The sequence below is a fragment of the Homo sapiens genome, chromosome 4, assembly GCF_000001405.40.
Source record: "Homo sapiens chromosome 4, GRCh38.p14 Primary Assembly".
Taxonomy (NCBI): Eukaryota; Metazoa; Chordata; class Mammalia; order Primates; family Hominidae; genus Homo; species Homo sapiens.
In genome coordinates this window covers 13,630,156-13,644,631 of record NC_000004.12, presented here as the reverse complement: position 1 = coordinate 13,644,631, position 14,476 = coordinate 13,630,156, and the positions used below count along the sequence as shown (strand labels likewise).

At 41.0% G+C, this 14,476-nt stretch overlaps 1 pseudogene, besides 2 other annotated features; it reads left to right on the top strand.

The window, feature by feature from the left end:
- Positions 3,928–4,427: an enhancer, noted in NCBI's record as "H3K27ac hESC enhancer chr4:13641829-13642328 (GRCh37/hg19 assembly coordinates)". NCBI's record gives its function as "activates a minimal SCP1, AML or CMV promoter by ChIP-STARR-seq in naive H9 embryonic stem cells {active_cell/tissue: H9 hESC(naive)}" and the evidence as "EXISTENCE:reporter gene assay evidence [ECO:0000049][PMID:30033119]".
- Positions 4,428–4,929: an enhancer, noted in NCBI's record as "H3K27ac hESC enhancer chr4:13641327-13641828 (GRCh37/hg19 assembly coordinates)". NCBI's record gives its function as "activates a minimal SCP1, AML or CMV promoter by ChIP-STARR-seq in naive H9 embryonic stem cells {active_cell/tissue: H9 hESC(naive)}" and the evidence as "EXISTENCE:reporter gene assay evidence [ECO:0000049][PMID:30033119]".
- LOC100288683 (ribosomal protein L21 pseudogene) lies at positions 11,991–12,847 on the top strand (annotated as a pseudogene).

Below are 14,476 nucleotides of genomic sequence, written 5' to 3'. Positions count from 1 at the left end.
CCTTTTACAGACATGCACACATTTCTTAAAATGTCAATGATCCAGCCTGGGCAACTTGGCAAAACCCTGTCTGTATGAAAAATACAAAAATTAGCTGGGTGTGGTGACACATGCCTATAGTCCCAGCAACTTAGGAGGCTAAGTTAGGAGGATAGCTTGAGCCTGGAAAGCAGAGGTTGTAGTAAGCCAAGATGGCACCACCAGTGCACTCCAGCATGAGTGACACAGTGATGCCCTGTCTCCAAAAAAAAAAAAAAAAAAATCAATGGTCAGTAAAACTCCAGGTTGGAAGTGTTTTAGTCTTTCAATCAGGAGAACTATTGTCTATTTAGTAATGCTAAGTACAACCCTCCTCCCTTCCAGATTCCTAACTAATAGAGGGCAGAGGCAAGGAGCTCCATGAAAATCAAGAGACAGTACTACACTTCCATTAGGGAAGGCAAGTACAGAATAATTCCAGTACTTAGTGTTTTGGCTTTACTCTGTTGGAGAACATGGATGAATACAGACCTTCTCCAGTATTCTCCTCAACCCCTGAAGACCTTTAGGCCAATCCAGAGGAAAACCAATGCTCAGGAACCAACCCGAAGTTTACCTGAGCAAGAGCCGCTTTCTTGAATTTCTCTCATAACCAAAGCAGGAGACAGCAAGAGAGCAAGTACCACTGATCCCACAACCCTGCATTTCAATGCAGAGGCCCCATCACCCTGGTTACTGTGACCATAATCTTAGTGGTGATGTGGTGAGAACCTGGAATCCACTGGATTGTATTGACCAGAGGTCAGGGCCACTACACTGACTACAAGAAGGGGGCAGGAGGAGCAGGAGGAGGGACGTTCACTGCCCACAGGGGCAATTCTAATGAGATGCTGATTAGCTTAACCAATTAGCAACAGTGTCAGTAATAAAATATTGCAAATTGATCTATCTACATCTTATCTCATGTATTATTCTCAACAACCCCGGGAGATCAACATTCATATCAACGGCATTTATATATAATGAGTTGACTAGCGGAGAATGAATCCTAAAACTGGTTGAAACTAAGAAAACCTGGGTGTTTTATATGTTCATGGTGAAAACTTGAACTTACCTTTGGAGTCGTCCCATTGTTCTGGAAATAATCACTTAGTGATCCCTTTGAGTTACACCCGGGTAAAGTAATTTCATTCCTACCCACTGGTTTTGGAATAGGGACTTTTTATTATTGGATATGCAGCTTGGAAACAGCATGGGTTTAGAAGAAGCTGATAAGTAAATTGATGAAAGATCCTTTTTCATACTTTTTTTACATATATGAATCTACACATATATGTAGAAGGAACCAAGGACGCTTCCGGAAGAAGAGAGTTTAGTATTTAACTATTTATTAGAACACATCTGATGGACACGAGTGGACCCACCTGGGGCCAGGTGGTGGGAAGAAATGAAAGAAAATCACCAAGAGGAAGAGGGAGTGTGGTCTGGGCAACCCAGACCTATGTTTCTGGAACAAAATGCTGGTTCTAGGCAGTAAGTGGATGGTGCTGTAACTCACTGCAATGTGGCTCCGCAGGTGCTGAGCTGTGCCTTGGGAAGCCTGGCTTCACTTGGGTGAAGTGGAAGACCTGATCTCTTATGGTCAGGTCTTATGGTCAGGTCAGGTTACCTCTTATGACATTGATCAACTTACCATTTCTAAGCTTCTGTTTCCTTGTCTGTAAAATGATGATATTAATGATACTGTCAAAGCAGTTTCTAATACTCTCTTCCCTGGCAACCCAGGCCAATTGGGGAGAGTATTCTCGACCAAGGATTACCCAGAGAAAGACCAGCATCCACTGTTCTCAGATGAACCACAGCAAAAGCTGGCATTTCTCCAGACCACGAGGCCTTCCAGCTTCAGCAAGGGAACAAGGATCTCAGTAGCTATTTTTCTCATCTGCAGAGCACCAACAGGGGTTCTTGGGCATTCCATGAAAGGGCTCCTGAAGACAAGAAGTTAGAGATGACTGCACTGCCTGCCAATCTGAGCAGGTGGAGGGTTGGAGTTACAAAGTGACTGTTAGCAGTGGTTAGCAGTGAATTGTTTTGTATTTTGTATTTACATAAGCTGTTGTGGTCCAGGGACATCCAGGTAATGAGCATGGGGGCCAGATGGGGTCCAGAGAGGCTTAATAAGAGAAGCTCAGCAGTTCTTAACACTCACTACACATAGTATTTCACAGAGAGTTTCTAAAATAGATGGATGTTTGTGCTGAAACCTAGTCCAATTGAATCAGTCTTTTGGAGCAGAGCCCAGGAATTAACTATTTTTGAAAAGCTCCCCAAGTAAATATAATGTGTAGCCAGGTTGTGAAGTACAGAGCTAACCCAAGACAGATAAAGAGAGAGACAGAGAAAGAGAAAAAAAGAGAGATGCATTTTGTAGACCAGGAAGCTAAAGATTAGACATTCAGATGACCATCACAAGGTCATTCAGCTGATAAGTAGCAGAATCACATGTCATATTCAGGTCTGTCTGATTGCTGACCACATATTGATTTAACTCTAACATGGTCTCTTGGGGATTCTGGAGAATGAGGAGAGAAACTGACAGACAAAAGGGAGGAGAAAAGCACACCTTCTCCAACCTCAGCTTTCTCCTTGACCTGAAAAAAACATCCTTGCAGTAAATAAAGGGGGAATCTTGCATACAGACACAAAATACTACTTCTGCATGTCAATGAAAAGCCATCCAGCCTAAATCAACATATTTCAAGAAAAGTCTCTTCTCACACCCACCCCTTCCTCCCACCACCACTTATTTATAGCTGAAAAAGTTGTCAAGCTCAATACACTTGGGGTATCACTGGAAGGCAGGCACTGAAAGGAATGGAGAAAGTATGTGCCCGGTGTGACTTGGAATGTACTGGAATCACACCTGTAATGGGGCTCCCAGCCCACATAGAGCAGAGGGAGAGAGAGAGCGAGATATTGAGAGAGAGAGAGAGACCTCAGTGGGAAAATGCTGCAGATCAGACTGGTTCAGAGGCATCAGACATTACCAGAAAGGCCTTTATGAAATAGTCGTTTACAAGTGACTTCTGTTAAATCAAGTTTAGCATAAAGCTGCCTCCTTACATATTTTAAGTTCAGCCTAAGGATTTCTCTGTACATCATGAACTATAACAAGTGGAGGTGTAAACGACCATAACCTACACTTGTGCCAGTCACGAGTTTTGGTCAAGCAAATGTACAACTGTTCAAACCATGTTCAAATAAAGCAAACACCAAGCTGTAGCCAAACCAATTCTGTAACTCACTTCTGTTTTCTGCACCTCACTTCCATTTTCTGGGCATCACTTTCCTTTTTCTGTCCATAAATCTTTTTCCACCACGTGGCTGTGCTGGAGTCTCCGAGCCTACTCTGGCTGGGAAGGCTGCCCGATTCGCAAGTTGTTCATTGCTCAATTAAACTCTTTTAAATTTAATTTGGATGAAGTTTTTCTTTTATTACCTCTGAGCATGTGTGAGAACTTACTGAATAATATAATTAGAGCTATTATTTATTGACAGCCAATGCACCAAGTCTTCAGCAAAGACTTTAATGGGAACCATATCATTTACCACCCCATCCCATCCCCAACACCCCCCACCCCACAGCCCACACACAGATACATCTACACACAATGAGGTTGGTGGTATTATTCTTATTGTAATGATGATGAAACTGAGCCCTAGAGATGTAAGTAAACTGATCAGCCCAAGTCCCAAAGCAAGTAGTTATGGAGCTGGTATTCAACCCTAGGGGGAAAAATGATAGCAAACCTCATTTGTTACTAGGAGTGTGGGGTCGATTTGACTACAGAACTTCTGGCAGTTTCTGATGGCAGTAAAAATGCAGGCAAGAAGCCAAAAAAAAAAGCCTATTGGCAGCCTCCCCTCTTTCCCTATCTTCTCCTTGTCCTATAACTAGGAAAAAAACAAGGAGAACCTGCAAGGCACTTGCACTGGTGTACTGCTATAAGCAGATTGAGAAGGTCTCCAGAGACTATAGGAACTCAACCGGCTTTACCAAAGCACCTGCTTTACAGCTCCCTCTCTTAACAGCCTGTTTGTTTCAGGCCCTGTGTGGAATGCAGTCCCCTAGTCAGTTGAAACCAGTTTCTGACAGACCCTAGCAACTTACAGATGAACCCAAGTGAACTTTCCTCATTACCATGCTAATGTCTCCCGCCCAGAAGGAGCTATAAAGCAGAGGACCTATGTGCTGGCATGATGACTCACTGCATCTGCGCCACTGGGACCCCTTCCCTGCATGAGATGACGCACTCTCTCCCCCTCCATCGCCCCATAAAACTCTCCTGTCACTTTCCCTCAGGGAGACACTGCTTTGGAGAACACTCCCAGTGCTCTCCTTACTTGTGATGAGTAATAACACTCCTATGGATCGAAACCTGTGTTCTCGTGGAGAGTTGTTGGTTGCTTGCCAGGAAAATTAACCCTAGTTTTGTTTGGGTAACATTGCTAAGTGTTTAAAAACAGACTCTATGGGGAAAGAAAGCCCTGATCTGTGGCATTTGCCAGTTTTTGTGGCATAAATACAGCCACCATGGCCATTTTAAAGCTACAAAGTCGTCATGAACTATTTCACAAATTTCCTGAAAATGTAACAGGAGTTGATTGAACTGACTCCAGTACACCATGGAATTGATTTCATTCTAAGAATATAATGCTTGTTAGTTAGAAAAGGGATCCCCCATCCTCCAGTCCAAAAGCATCCAGATTGTTTTAGCATCCCTCAGTGATCTCATTCAAGGTTCTTCTCACAAGAACCAATGAGTAATTTACTTCAGCTCAGCAGACCCACACAATCTGGTTGAGTTGATTGCCATAAGCCATATACACTAATGAATTAAAGCTCCAGCCTTGATGGGCTGAAGATTCAAGGAAGTGGCACTCTAGACCATAAAAATAGATTAAATGGCTCTTGATAAACTGGAGAAAAGTTTCACCCAAGTCAAGATTGGGTTCAGTTACTGAAAGAGCAAATTAGAACTTTTAAAAGTTAGAAAGCAGAGTGAGAATGAACTGCACACATACGTCTTGGGGGCAAAAAGAAGGCCCCAATGAATCACAGACTACCAGTCTTTACAAATCAATATGAAATAAAACAGATAATAATGGGATTCCAGTAAAAGAAATGAGTGCTTCTTTTTTTTTACTGGATACTGAGACCTCTCGGGTTCAGATTTGCTTTGTTGCTTCCTAGAATGCTGGGTTAATTTGCTCTTCCTGGGGGAAAGTACGATGGAGTGCTTAAATGCACAGGCTATGGTTTTCTTGTCTGTAAAATAGTGATATTAATAATACTGTCAAAGCAGTTTCTCAGATAAATTCAATGGAATATTGACAAACATTTTATTTCAAACTTGGTGGAAGGGAAGAGACTTCAAAAAAAACTAGTTCAAAAATTTACTTTTGGGAGAAAAAATGACTTAATAAATACTATTCAACTGGCGTTTGAAAAGAGGAATATCTGGTTTAAAGGTTATTAGGACAGCATAAGGCTTAAAGAGTGTTGTGTCCTTAAATGTCTGATTAAAGGTTACTGAACACATCTAAAAAATAACAGCACAGTGGTGCCAATCTAGCTGCCCAGAAGGACTCTAAATCTCATTAAAATCTATCAGAAAGGCAAGGAAGGCATGGTGGTTCACGCCTGTAATCCTACAACTTTGGGAGGCCAAGGTGGGCGAATCATGAGGTCAGGAGTTCGAGACCAGCCTGGCCAACATAGCAAAACCCCTTCTCTACTAAAAATACAAAAAATTAGCTGGGCATGGTGGTGGGCGCCTGTAATCCCAGCTACTCGGGAGGCTGAGGCAGGAGAATCGCTTGAACCTGGGAGGCAGAGGTTGCAGTGAGCCGAGCTCGCGCCACTGTGCTCCAGCCCAGGTGACAGCACGAGACTCCAACTCAAAAAAAAAAAAAACTATCAGAAAAATACTACAGTGCTTTATCAGGAATGCTAGATCCTTCCCAAAGAGGCTGAAAATCCTATTAGCCTACAAAGTTCTGCTCCAGCTCAGGTTTGGGATAATTTCCTTTCATAGTAGCCATTACATAGGGCTGGTGTGAGGATTAAATGAAATGGCAACAGCTAACATACACTTGGGTGTTTCTCTTGTGCCAAGACTGGCAATGAGCTCCTTAATTCTGTTATGAAGTCATGCCACTCCCCACTTTAAAATTTTTTAGGGGCTTTGCATTGCACTTAGTAGAAAACACACTTCCTTATCCTTGTTTTCAAAGCCCTACATGATCTAATTTCATCCACTACCACTCTGCCTCTTGCCCATTAACCTCAGCTGCAATGACCTTATTTATGTTCTTCAAATACATTAAGCTGATTCCTGCCCCAGGACCTCAGCACAAGCTCTTCTCCCTGCCAGGGCTGCCCCTCCTTATTTTCTCATGGCTGATTTCAATGTGACGTTCGGAGGTGAGAAAGGCCTACCCTAACCTGTAAGTTGCTATCCAGTCACCCTTTATCATATCACTCCACTTAATCTTCTACAGAGTACTTATCTCTATCTGATATTTCAGTTGTGCATTTCTTTTCTGACTAGCAATTCCAGTAGAATGGAAGCACCTTTAGGGAAAGGGCTTTGTCTGTTCTGCTCAACTGCTTCCTCTCCCATTCCTAGTACAACACCTGGCACATAATAGGAGCCCAAAACATATTTGTTGAATGAAAAAGTGGTCTCAATCAACAGTCCCTAAAACCCTATGGCAAGGTCTGTTATTGTTACAATTTCACAAGAAAAACGGCACAGAGAGGTTGAGCAATTTGCTCATGGTCATAAGCTAGAAAATAACAAAGCTGAAATGCAAAGCTGAAATTCAAAGACCCCAGGCTTCACCTCTTCATCCTTACGCCTGTAAAAATAAACTTCTTCACCGATTCTTCCTGTTTTATATTAATATATTTCACATTTAGTCTAAGAAATGAAATACGTCTGCCTTTGCTTTAGATTTCATTTAAATTAGTTCCTCTACCATTCATTAATCAAAGAGCTAATGTTTTCTGTAAATTAAGAAAACGGAATATACCTATGAATGTCTGAATATATATTTTCTTATGACTGATCTTGAAAATTAAGCTGCTTATGACTTGTTCCTGTCTTCTCCCCATATGTGGTTCAAGGCCATTTTCTCCAGAGTGCTTCATTGGTTAGCTTACCCCATCTCAGCCACCCTTCTATTAGGTTGGTGCAAAAGTTATTGCGGTTTTTTTCCATTGAAAGTAATGGCAAAAAAACACAATTACTTTCTCACCAATACATAAATGCACATCATTTTCTACCACTTTGTCCTCATTTCTACTTAACCAACTACTCCTGTTGTATTTTTTATATGTATTGTGTATATAAGAAGCATGTTTTATACTTACAATTAGCACATTGGCTCCCAGAGACTGGGGCACATGCCCACTGGGCTTCCTATCCTAAGCACATGTACATGGGCACCAACAAGATGGTAAGAATCCCTGTACAGTTGCCTAAAAACAGAAAATGTGAATATATAAATAAAGTACATCTCCTTCTCCCTTCTCTGTTGAAATGCTTTAATGAAAAATTGTTTAACCACCATTATAATTTGTTCAACATATTTGCCACATCAAAGTGCATTTCTAATAACTTAAAAGGGTAGAAATTTAAATTTGTGTCCAGTCAAGAATCATAGCTGTCACTCAGTCTTTTTGTAATGATTATTTGAATCTCACCTTTCAATCATCGTCTCTTATTCTTGTCACAGAAAAAGGGATTCATTTAATCACAATCATTTCACTTAAATATAAAAATGTACAATTGTCAATTTAGTATTCATTATCTAAAATAATCATTGATGAGTATTTTTATTCACTTTTCTTTCAAGAAATAGGCATATCTTCTTTTCTTTTATTATTTATTTATTATCTTAAAAAATGAACAGCCTAATTCCAACTTTTGAGGCATATGGTTAAACTCCATAGAAATCATTCCTGAATCAAATCTTTCTACCAAGACAGTTCTTGTTTTAAAAGACTTCTCCCCATCCAATCCCCATGGCCTCTCTAGAGCAACTGAGGCACCAATATGAAAAGAACAATCCATCTGGCTTGAAGAATATCAGACTTCTATTGATGTTTTGATGCACGCCAGTACTGGTGTGTCAAGCCAATGTTCAGTTTGCTTATAAAGGGGTAAATGATGCTGGTAAATGTTGACATTCACTAGATGCCTATCCACACTGCACAATTCCTCACAATCCCTTCCTGTGTTAGTTTCCACCCATTACCATAATAATGCACATTTCCTATTAAAAATAGGACTTTTATTAGTTGTGAATTTGTTTCACATAATCAAATGACGGTAGAAACAAGCATACCTGGCCCTCAGGAATATGTGGACCACAGGCAGGGTGTTCGTTGTCCATCCTCATCTGTGCTTCACTCTGTGGATTAGTGGATTTTTTTTTTCTTGGCAGATTGGCTTGATACACATGACAGAGGATCTGGTTATTACCGACTCCAGACACCTGCTTACAATGTAGCTGAGAGGGATACCAATTACCTTCAAAAATCCCAAGGAAGGGTTCTAATTTGTCCATCTTGGGTCAGGTCCTCATCTCCAGCCTATTCCCTGTTGTCAATAGACTTCTTTGTCTTTTCCTAGTTTTCTACAAGAAAAACTTTCTTTTCCTAGTTTACTAGTAGTCTACTCGTTCTCTACAATTTAAGTGGTAATCAAGACAACTTATATTTAAAATATGGCCAATAAAATTAGATGTTAGGTAAGCTGGTCACCCTGACTGGACCCCCACAGCAACACTTCAATTTGTTGACCATAGTGTGGGGTCCAGCCTGCAGTCTTGCAAGGTAAGAGGTGACTATCAGTACAAAAAGAATAGATCTGAATCCTGGGTGGTTTCAAAATTCGCCAAGCTCTTAGGGTTTTATGCATAAAAATCATTCATGGGGAGAGATATAACTACCAAGTAGACAGCTTCCTATATTTACTACTCAGCACTTTTTCTTCCTATAGGCAAATCCAAATGTGAAGCCAAATGTGATCCAAAAGTTACTTAACAATCACAGAATCAGAGGAGAAATGAATGAGATCATCTTAATGGCTGGCACCCAATAGCAAATGCATGCTCTCCAGAGACAGTGCCAATTCTAGACACTTTGAATTCCTTCCTTTCATACATGCATGCCAACCACCTCTTACTCTTAAAACACAAAACAAAACAAAAAAAAAAACAACTCTTTCTTCAAATGTAGAATACAATCTTTATTTAGGTATACAAATTTTTATTTATATTTAAATAAATCCCTCCCAGAATTTCTACCCAGATGACCTGGATTAGATTTGAGGTATTCAGATAATACTACATCATTTCTAGAGACCTCCCTCCAATTTCTGCTTTTCCTAATTTTATTCCTGGAGGTGTGACTTTCAGTTTTCAGAATACCATGTACCATCTAGAATACTCAGGAAACACACACACACACAGACACACACATGTTAGGGCTATTTTTAAAATAAGAACAATTTTCACAAAGCCTAAATGGAAAATGCTAAATGCAAAGCTTCTTTCCATCTTTATAAGCATATAAAAGATACCTTGCATTTCAAGCCATCTGCAATATTGACATCTCAATTTTCAAAATAGCCAGCAATTCAGTAGCATTAATAGGCACAGGCTACCTAACTTCATAATAAATCTTACTTTTATAAATCTGATTGCTATCACTACCAGGAGTTTAAACCTTATGAGCAAAGAAATGTATAAAAATTAATGGTACTTGCATAAAAGGAGTATCATCTTACAAAAAAAAATGTTCAAACTAGAAAGTACGGTTTCAGTAAAACTTTGTTTATAAAAACAGGTAGACTGGATTAGGCCTGTGGGCCGTGATTTGTCTAGTCCAGTGTTTCTCATATAGTGTTCTATCAGCATTTGTTAAATGCATTTGTTAACAATGGAAACTCTCAGGCTCTGTCCCAGACCTATCAAATCAGGGACTCAGGATGGCGTGCCTAGTACTCTATTTTAACAAGTCCTCTAGGAGATTTTGGTGTAGGCTAAAATTTGAGAACCACTATTAGTCTTCCAGATTACCCACAGAGGAATCTCCCATCCCATAAAGTATTAATAACTAATGTGACTGATAGGTCCAACTTCACCAAATACCCCCCACCACTCTATTTCCCTCCTCTTCTGAAGTTCCTACTCCAATATCCCAGGGGCTTATGTATCCCAATCCTCGTCTCAGTTGACATTACTCCTGTCTTGCTGCCCCAGACACATCCTCCTTTTTCCCACCAACTAGAACTTGGCCACTCTCTTGAATTCTGCAGCTCCTCAAGGTAATATATTCTCACAAAGCCACCATTTCCAAAGCACCCCTACCCTACAACACTCCCAGACTGGCAGGGAGCTGAAGTTTCCAGTCTATGCCAAATGTCCCAGAATCACCCTTCGTCCTCTCTGCCTTACTGTCCCCCTGTACCACTCCACTTCCATGCCCTGACCCTAGGGCAAGTGACAATTCTTTCAAGGGAAAAATCAGTACCCGCTTTTCACATTAACATTGTATAACACTCTGCAGCCCCACCATCATGGTAGTCCTGCCTTATTTGAGGTTTTGCTTTCTGCAGTTTCAGTTACTCATGGTCAACTGTGGTCTGAAAATATTAAATGGAAAATTCCAGAAACAATGAATACATTTTAAGTGTTGCACCATTCTGACAAACATGCTGAAATCTTGCACCATACCATGCCATCCCTTTGTCCAGCATATCCACTCTGTGTATGTTAGCTGCCTGTTAAGTCACTTAGCAGCCATCTTGGTTATCAGATCAGAAAAAAATATAATATACACAGTATAGACTTTTGGGGTTTTTGTTGTTGTTTTTGTTTTTGAGATGGAGTCTGACTCTATCACCCAGGCTGGAGTGCAGTGGCACGATCTCAGCTCACTGCAACCGCCGGCTTCCGGATTCAAGCAATTCTCCTGCCTTAGCCTCCCAAGTAGCTGGGATTATAGGCACGTGACACCATACCCGGTTAACTTTGTATTTTTAGTAGAGATGGAGTTTCACCATGTTGCCCAGGCTGGTCTTGAACTCCTGCCTTCAGGTGATCCACCTGCCTCACCCTCCCAAAGTGCTGGGATTACAGGTGTGAGCCACTGAGCCCAGCCCATGGTATAGTTTGTTCCTCCATGGTTTCAAGCATCCTCTAGGGGTCTTGGAACATATCCCCCATGGATAACAGGGCACTACTATACTGCAACAAAAATAGAATATGTGTGACCATGCAGCTTGCATTGGAAAGACAAATAATATTAACACATGTCCTCTCCCCCTCCTCCGATGTTTTCCGTTATCACTGAAAAACGAACTTTCAAAGTTTCTACTAAGCTTTGGGTTGATGGAGATTTAGGAAATATTGATTTCCCTTTGATTATGAAAAGCCTAGTCGGGAATGGAGATGCCAAAGAGTGGGGATCCCATGGGGGTACAAGGGGAAGAAAATAAGGAAACAACTCTGACGAATAATCAGATGGGATCCCTGGTGTTAGGAGATCAATGTTTGACTTTCACTGGACAAGCTCACAGAAGCAGTCTGGAGGATTGGGTAGGGGTGGGGGACAGGCTGGACTGTAGAAAGGAAAAGAAATTCCTGACAAAAACCATTTGTCAGGAATCTGGTGCCTAACCATGCACATGGCTACCAGTAACAGGGGCCATCATCACCTATTGTTGCTTCCCTAATTCGCAAACTATAAACTCTGTCACCTTGACATCAGACTTGGGGAACAGAATGAGAGTCAATCCTGTTAAGGGAGAAAGTACCTGACCTTTGTTGGAATGTTCTGAACTCAGACAGGCATAGAGTAGGAGAATGATGGCAGTTTCTTTTGTGAAGATCTCACCTCTTCTATGCCCTAACTACTGCTAGAAATTATATACTCTTTTCCTTTCAGCCGGAACCGCTGTCTTCCAGTAATTCGCCAAAATGACGAACACAAAGGGAAAGAGGAGAGGCACCCGACAGATGTCCTCTAGGCCTTTTAGAAAACATGGAGTTGTTCCTTTGGCCATGTATATATGAATCTATAAGAAAGGTGAGGCCAGGCTTGGTGGCTCACACCTGTAATTCTAGCACTTTGGGAGGCCGAGGTGGGCGGATTGCCTGGGCTCACAAGTTCAAAACCAGCATGGGCAACACAGTGAAACCCCATCTTGACTAAAAATACAAAAAATTAGCCAGGCATGGCAGGGCATGCCTGTAGTCCCAGCTACTCAGGAGGCTGAGGCAGGAGAATTGCTTGAACCCAGGAGGCGGAAGTTGCAGTGAGCCAAGATAGCGCCACGGCACTATGGCCTGGACGACAGAGTGAGACTCTCTCTCCTGTCTCAAAAAAAAAAAAAGGTGATATTGTAGACATCAAGAGAATGGCTACTGTTCAAAAAGGAATGCCCCACAAGTGTTACCATGGCACAACTAGAAGAGTCTACAATGTTACCCAGCACGCTGCTGGCATTGTTGTATACCAACAAGGGCCTGATTCTTGCCAAGAGAATTAATGTGCGTATCGAGCACATTAAGCTCACTAAGAGCCGAGATAGCTTCCTGAAACACATGAAGGAAAATGACCAGAAAAAGAAAACAAAGAGAAAGGTACCTGGGTTCAACTGAAGTGCCAGCCTGCTCCACCCAGGGAAGCACAGTTTGTGAGAACCAATGGGAAGGAGACTGAGCTGCTGGAATCTATTCCCTATGAATTCATGGCAAAATAAGTGTTAAAAAAATAAAAGACCTCTGGACTGCAAAAATGTTTCTCTTCGGCTGGGCGAGGTGGCTCATGCCTGTAATCCCAGCACTTTGGGAGGCCCAGGCAGGCAGATCATGAGGTCAGGAGATCGAGACCATCCTGGCTAACACAGTGAAGCCCCGTCTCTACTAAAACTACAAAAAAAATTAGCCGGGCATGGTGGCGGGCACTTGTAGTCCCAGCTACTCAGGAGGCTGAGGCAGGAGAATGGTGTGAACCTGGGAGGCAGAGCTTGCAGTGAGCCAAGATCGCACTACTGCACTCCAGCCTCGGCGACAGAGCAAGACTCCGTCACAAAAAAAAAAAAAAAAGTTTATCTTCATTGAGTAGAAGTGTGGTGTCTTCTCCCTTAAAGAAATATTTAAAGCACATTTTAATTGTGTCCTAATTCATTATGTAATGTCTTTACTGTTCAAATTTAACGTATTTCTTGCTGAAAAATGTGAGGTAGCTTATTGTGGAACAAATTACTCAATTGGTTAGAAAATGGCAAGATATTATTTATGAAATATTTGTACTGGTTTGAATATAGTCCCTCTAAATCATCATGGAAGAAATAAAATAATTTACCAAAAAAAAGAAATTATATACTCTTTTCTAGAGAGACAATCAGGAGGAAACACAGCAAAGACGTCATTGGTAGGAAATGCTGACTGCTTAAAGCAGTCTTTTAAAAAGATTTAAATGTATGCTTTTTGTTGTTGTTTTTTGGGTATTTAAAACACTCATCCCTAGGACCTGTATTCATACGAAAAGAAAATCACCTTGGAACAGCCAAGGCAGTGCAGATCGGTGACCCAGATTCTTTTCAATGTATCTAGAATGTTTTTCAAGGCTACAAAATTGTTCAAGTTACATTGCAACCAGTATAATGTGTCTACCCAGTGTAACTTGAACTCAGAGATACAAAGATGTATCTTTTAGATTCAGTGTGTGTTATTCAATAAGGCAATTAGGGCACATTTGAGAAAATGGATTGTGAACCATTATAAAGTTCTCATCTTCTTGCATTGTAGAAAATATTTAAGATTTTCTATATACTGTTCACAAAACAAATTATTTATTAGCCACTGACCCAATTCATTTTTAGCAGTAAATACTTTATTGTCTCATTACTTTTTTAAACTTGGACATTATGCCTAATTAAATTTGTAAAGTTTTTCAGAACTTTTATGGATGATTTCTACTTAGTTATTCCCAAAAAGCTGAATAAATTTGATTCACACATCCAAATATACCAAAGAAATACCATGTCTTTTTATCATACCACACACTTAAAAACTTATAAACTTAGAATATAGCAACATATATTATATTGTATTGTTGGTAATTAAGTAAATGTTATAGTCTCACCTTTTCATAACTAATTTTTATTTTTTTTTATTTTTTTTTTGAGACCCAGAGTCTCACTCTGTCGCCCAGGCTACAGTGCAGCGGTGCGATCTCGGCTCACTGCAAGCTCCGCCTCCCGGGTTCCTGCCATTCTCCTGCCTCAGCCTCCCAAGTAGCTGGGACTACAGGCGCCCACCACCACGCCTGGCTAATTTTTTGTATTTTTAGTAGAGACGGGGTTTCACCGTATTAACCAGGATGGTCTCGATCTCCTGACCTCATGATCCGCCC